The 6,178-nt window shown below is 55.8% G+C and overlaps 1 annotated feature.

Annotated features, from left to right (window-relative positions):
• Window positions 5,036-5,946: an enhancer, noted in NCBI's record as "H3K4me1 hESC enhancer chr2:96725007-96725917 (GRCh37/hg19 assembly coordinates)". NCBI's record gives its function as "activates a minimal SCP1, AML or CMV promoter by ChIP-STARR-seq in primed H9 embryonic stem cells {active_cell/tissue: H9 hESC(primed)}" and the evidence as "EXISTENCE:reporter gene assay evidence [ECO:0000049][PMID:30033119]".

The following is a 6,178-nucleotide window of genomic DNA, read 5'->3' as shown; positions in this document are numbered from 1 at the left end:
ACCTAGCAGTAATCCTTCCCCCTTTAAAGCTGATGTTCCAGGAGACCCATGTGCACAGGGTGACATCACTAAGCATTCTGAGATTAGATGGATGGATGTGTGGATGGATGAAGAGATGAATGAATAGATGGATGGATGGATGTGTGGATGGTTGAACAGATGAATGGATAGATGGATGGATGGATGGATGGATGGATGGATGAATGGATGGATAGATGGGTGGATGGATGGATGGATAGATGGGTGGATGGATGGATGGATAGATGTTTGGATGGATGGATAGATGGACAGACAGATGAATGAATGGATGGATGGATGGTAGATGGATGGATGGATGGTAGATGGATAGATAGATGGATAGATGAATGAATGGATGGAGGAATGGACAGATAGGTGGGTGGATGCATAGATGGGTAGACAGATGAATGGATGGATGGATGAATGAATGGATGGTAGATGGATAGATGGATGGACAGATGAATGAATGGATGGAGGAATGGATAGATAGGTGGGTGGATGCATAGATGGATAGACATATAAATACATGGATGGATGAATGGATGGATGGTAGATGGAAAGATGGATGAATGGATAGACAAATGGACAGGCAGATGAGTGAATGAATGGATCATTGGATGGATGGATAGATAGGTGGATGGACAGATGAATGAATGGATGGAGGAATGAGTAAATGGGTGGATAGATGCATGGATGGATAGACAGAAGAATGGATGGATTGGTGGGTAGATGGATGGATGGATAGATGGACAGACAGGTGAGTGAATGGATGAATGGATGGATGGTAGATGGATAGATGGATGGACAGATGAATGGATGGATGAATGGATGGGTAGATAGGTGGATAGATGGACAGACAGATGAACCAATGGATGGACAGGTAATGAGGAAGGGAAGAAGCCTGGGCCCCTGCTCTCCTCCTGCTCTCCTCCTGCTCTCCTTCCTGTGGCCGCATTTCCATCTCAGGACAGAGCTCACTGGCTGGCTGGGTCTCCTGGATAGAAAGTGAAGGGGGCAGTGGCCTGACTGAGGCAGGGCTTGGGATGACAGTAGTTGGGCTCTGGGGAGACTTTGGTGATGGATGGGCTCGATGTCAGGGAAGGTGGCCGGGGAGGAGGTGGTAGGGGATGGGCTGAGTGTTATGGGCACAGGGGACACAGTTCAACCACGTGAGCCTGCCTCTCTTCTGCCTCTGTCTAGGTGGGAGACTCTCTTTGGGTTTGAAAACCCCAGTCTGAGATGTGCTGTTTCCCTTGTGCCCCACCAGGGCCCAGTGTGTAGCGTTCTGGGGACACCGGGTGTTGCTGAGAACGAATCAGGGAGCCATAGTCAGGGGGCTCAGTGCAGGGCAGGGGTGAAAGGAGCACCGGAAGCAAGCAGGCCTGGGAGTGGGGCATTTATTTACTATTTGTTGGGGCCATCCTGAAGGGGGTGCCCAGCAGGCTGGGGTGGCCTGCCACAGCCCTCAGTCCTCTCAGTAAGTCTGCAGCAAGAACCTGCTGGAAGCTGCAACATTCACAGCTGCAGGATGGGCAATTGGCTCTATGAGTCGGGCTCTGCTTCCATCTACAGGCCTAGATGTGAGGGCAGAGGAGCACTCAGCCTGCCGAAGGTCTGCACAGCTGGCCGGCAGCGGGCAAGATTGGAATTCACTCACCATGCAGCTACTGGGTGCCTGGCTACTGCTGGGAAGCAAGCTGAGGGCAAAGACTGCCCCACAGGGGCAAGATCGGGGCCCACCACAGGAGGTCACCCCCCAGGCATGCAGGGCACAGAGCTGGGGGGAATGAGCTCCCTCCCCATGCACCCCTCCCCAGCTGTCCCTGAGTCACTAGCGCCCTTCCCTTTCACTACCAGGGAGGCTCTGGAGCTGCTTCCTATCCCCCACTGTCCTGTGAGTCACCGCCCCACCCTCCAAGTCCCTCCCACATGGTGTGATCAGCATCCCTGCCTCTGCCCACGAAAGTGATTTCAAAAGGCAGAAGTGACAGGTGGTGGGTGGTTAGGCGGGCAGTGCCTCTCACCTCCCCATCCATCTCTCTTCTGTCAAGTGGGGCAGCAGCAGGGCCAAGAAGACTGAATTCAAAGCATCCTGGAAGGCCTCAGGTTGTCAAGGGCCCCAGGCAGCGCATGAGGCTTTGAGAGGGGCCCCTGCCTTGTGCCTGGGCAGGCTCCTTCCCTGCTCTGCACACTGTGTCTTGAGCAGGCTCTGGAACCCACCTTTCCACTATTAGAATGATAGACGGGCTGGATGTCAGGAAGGTGGAGTGTGTTCCTCCAGGTCACAGCCCTGGGCCTCTATGACAGCCCCTTTGAGATGAAGAGACCTGGGTGAGGAGTCTGCAGCGGGGGCGGTGGGGGCATCTTCAGTGCTCTGGCATGGGTTCATTCCTCAGGATGCTCCTGCAGCCACCCCAAGCTGAGGACAAGGCCCAGATCCACAGTGGCCTGGGAAGTGCTCCCAGCAGAGTGAGCAGAGCTGGGCTTCGGTGCTGTCTGCCCTCTGTCCTGCTGCAAGGCTAATCACCTTCTGGTTCTGGGCCTTGAATCCCTTTTACAGCATGGGGGCTGGATGCTCTTTGAGCTTCCTCCTGGCTTCGATCCTGGAAACTGACACCTACTTGTTTGCAGTTGTGTGACTTGGTCAAATCGTGTAACCTCTTGAGCCTCAATTTCATTCTGTGTGAATGAAACAGTGAAAGCCCTGAAGATTAGATTTTTGATAGAAGAATTGTAACAGCAGTGACCCCATAGCCCTTTACCATTTGCAAGGTGCTTCAGACAAAATATCTCACTGGTCCCTCCCAACAATTCTGCCACAAAAGGTGGTATTACTTTCATGCCCAGCTTACAGTTTGAGGAACGAAGGCCCAGCTATGGGGGCAGGTGCAGAGGTGGGCCTCGCTTCCAGGTCTCAGTCTCTGGATGAAGGGCAAGATCCCTGCAGCTAAGGACGAGGGAGTGGTGGCACAGAATGTCCGGCCTGCTGGTCTTTCTTTCCCAGCCTGGGGCATCTCTGTGAAGGCCGATGAGCGGAGGCCCCTCCCCAGGTGCTGGTGCCAGGCGGCGGGGAGCTGCTTCTGACAGCTGTGCAGAGAATCATCACTTCTCCATCGCTGCTAATAGCATGTTTAGCTTGCTGACTCCTCTGTTTGCCTGGTGCCTCCCACGGACCCAGAGCTTGGAGTTTCTTCATTGCCTGGGGTGGGGCAGGGTGGCAGAGGGGCATCTCTGCTCCCTGGCCCTGGCTGCAGCCAGCAGCTCCACCCAGGGCCCTGAACTTGGGAGGCGACTGCAGTTCCATGCCTTGGCTCCCAGCACCCCAGGGAAGTACATCTGGGCTCTGGAACAGCAGAAATGGCCTCCTGCAAATCTCCTACCCGACACAGGACCAAGTGTGGGAAGGCTCTGGTCCAAGGGGCTTTCTCCAACTCTCTGGACCACAGGGAGCCGGCAGGATGGGGGCCAGTCCACCTTCAGATTACACCTTTACCTCTGACTCAGACCCCTTCACCTCCCAGGCCACCATACGACATCTCCTGCTTGCAGATCTGGCCATGCTGGAGGCAGGATGGATCCCCAGCCCCTCAGTTGTGACCCTTCCTAGCTTGTTAGGTTAGTAGAAAACTCAGCTCATAGTCTCGGGGACTGCTCCTCCCCTGGTTCATGCACAAACTCCAAAGGTTCATGGGATTCCTAAAAGCAGCCTGACAAATTTCCCTCCTGTGGGGAGAAGACCCTGTGGTCTGGCAGGACCCACTGCCCTTGGCCAGGTGCCCCTCGCTTTGATCCTGGGTCTGGCTCCTGCCTTAGGAGACTGCAGACCTCTGTGGGGCCACTCCCTGGTGACCCACCAGCCCAGGAAGGATGGACCCCGCAGTGGACAACACTCGGTTCTGTCCATCTCCCTGCCTTGGGGAAGTACTTGCCTGTGGTTTTAATTTACCTTTGACCCTATGGTGCACTTCTGGAATGTTCCCTCCACGAGGGCGTGGACTTGGTCCTGTTCATGGGGATCTCTCTGGCACCTGGAGCAGCTGTGTAGCCCAGACGGGGTGCTCAGTCATTGACTGCTGCCTGAACAGATATGTGCAAGTTTGTCTTCTCACTGCTGTTAACATTATTGTATGAGTAATTTTACAAGTTTACCATTTTTCTTGTACGTATAATAAATATCCCACCTTATTGACCCACAGTTCCCCCTCCCACAACTTGCAAAGTATTTTGGCTGACTTGACTTGTTTACTATGATAAATAGTGTTGCTATAAACAGCTGTGCACATATAGCTATTTTTCCCTTTGCAATTATGTTTTTGGGAGGAATTCCAAACAGTGGGGTTAGCGGGTCAAAGGGCATGGCGTATTTATGGTCCTGGATGTGCTGGGACTGCCGAATTCTCAGCCCCCAGGCCACCCCTGTTTTCCCTGAGGTCTAGCTCTGGGTGAACACCCACAAAAGTGTCTGTCTGCCTGAGGCTACCCCGGCCTCTGTCTGGCTCCTGCGGTCGTGGAGCAGACCTCACGGTGCAGGAGCTGGAGGTGGCTGTGGGAGTTTGAGGAGGGGCAGGAGGAGGCAGCTGTGGGAGTTGTGGAGATGGCTTCACGGAGCCAGGAGCCCTGTTCCGGGAGGGCAGTAGGACCCCCTCTTCTCCCAGAGCCCTGGCCTTCTCTTGGATGGCTCTCCTCTCCTGGAGCCATCCCGCCCCCTGCAGCTAAGCTTCCACCCCCAGTCTCTGAGAGGGGGCAGTGCCCCCTGTAGGCAGGTGTGTTTGGGAGAAGGGAGGGGACCCAGTGCCTCAGCCTACTCCGGACTTTCTCCTGTGGGCCCTGACGTGGTGTCATGTGGGGGAGAAGTGCCGTGGAAGCTAGCTGCTGAGCAAAAGGTCTTTATCACTGCAGAAAATGTGCCTGAGATTTGCCCGCCTTCTGCCTCCATCCACTGGCTCTGCCCCTCCTCAGCTGCTGGAGCCCCCTTTCCCCACCATTAGCCCCAGACCTGCAGGCCTGGATGGTTGAAGGGGAGGGGTCCACACTGGCCCCTCATGGGATCTTCCGGAACCTGGCTGCTACTGGAGGGCAGGGTATCCAGGGTGGCCCCTCCCTAAGTAAATCTTCCCATCCTGGGAATAGGACAGACCTATTCTCTGTCTGGCGATGCCTGCATTTTATGGGGACCCCAAGGCTTTCCCCTGCCATGGGGTAGTGTCTTGGAGGCGGGGCCTGCTGTCTGTAAGGGCTGGTGAGCCCCGGCCCAAGCAGGGCTAGGCAGTGCCCTGTGGCTCAGGCCTGAGTGGCATGGGCGTAGCCCGTGCTGGGAGGGAGGAATGAGACTCCCTGTGTCCCGAGGCTCTCCCTTGGAGCAGGCTCTCTCTGCTCTCTCTGTACCTCCTGCCCTGTCTTTTCTGGCTGCAGGTCCCTAGTGGCAGGAAGTTCTGGGAAGCAGTGCAGAAAGAGCACTGGACTCGGGCGTTCTCATCCAGTCTCTGTTACCAATGGGCTGTGGGATCCAGCCCCTACCTCAGTCCTCAGCCGGACATTTGCCTGTGGCCTTGTGCAGCGCCTGCGGCCTTGGCAGGGTGGCTGAGGGTGGCTGAAACCCAGGTTGTGGGAGGATCTGGAAGGAGCCTGGCTCCTGTCTCCCCATGTCCATGTCAGCTCTTGGCCTGACACCAGGAGACCCTCAGGGTTGGGGGTGTCACCCCCCCTTCCTGCAGCCTCCGCATCCTCCTCCCATGCCCCACTCTGCTTTTCTGCTGGCTGGTGCAGGAGACAATGGCTGTGGGGCATGTGGGTGCACGTAGGGGGGGTCCTGCGTGGGTTGTGTGATTTTCCCGGACAGGCAGGCGTGAGAGGGAGAGGAAATTATTCTGTCTAAAACCTCAGAGATGAGTCCTTGAGAGCTGGCAGAGTGACTGCTTCCCGTCTGGGTGGGGAGGCAGGAGACAGGGTGGGCCGTTCCCAGGGGCAAGAGCAAGGCAGGGCAGGGCCAGTCCTCAGGGAGAATCCCAAGAAGGCCACAGCAGCACAAAGATAAGCCCTCATATTTCCCACGTGTCACCTGGACAAAGAGCCGTGATGCCCCCCATAACAGCCGGTCCTCACGAGAATCCAGAGAGCTCGCTAGGGAGGCAGACATTATGATAACCCAGTTTACAGATGA

The sequence above is a fragment of the Homo sapiens genome, chromosome 2, assembly GCF_000001405.40.
Source record: "Homo sapiens chromosome 2, GRCh38.p14 Primary Assembly".
NCBI classification, from domain to species: Eukaryota; Metazoa; Chordata; class Mammalia; order Primates; family Hominidae; genus Homo; species Homo sapiens.
Note: the sequence above shows the minus strand (reverse complement) of the source record. Positions and strands in the feature narration are given on the sequence as shown.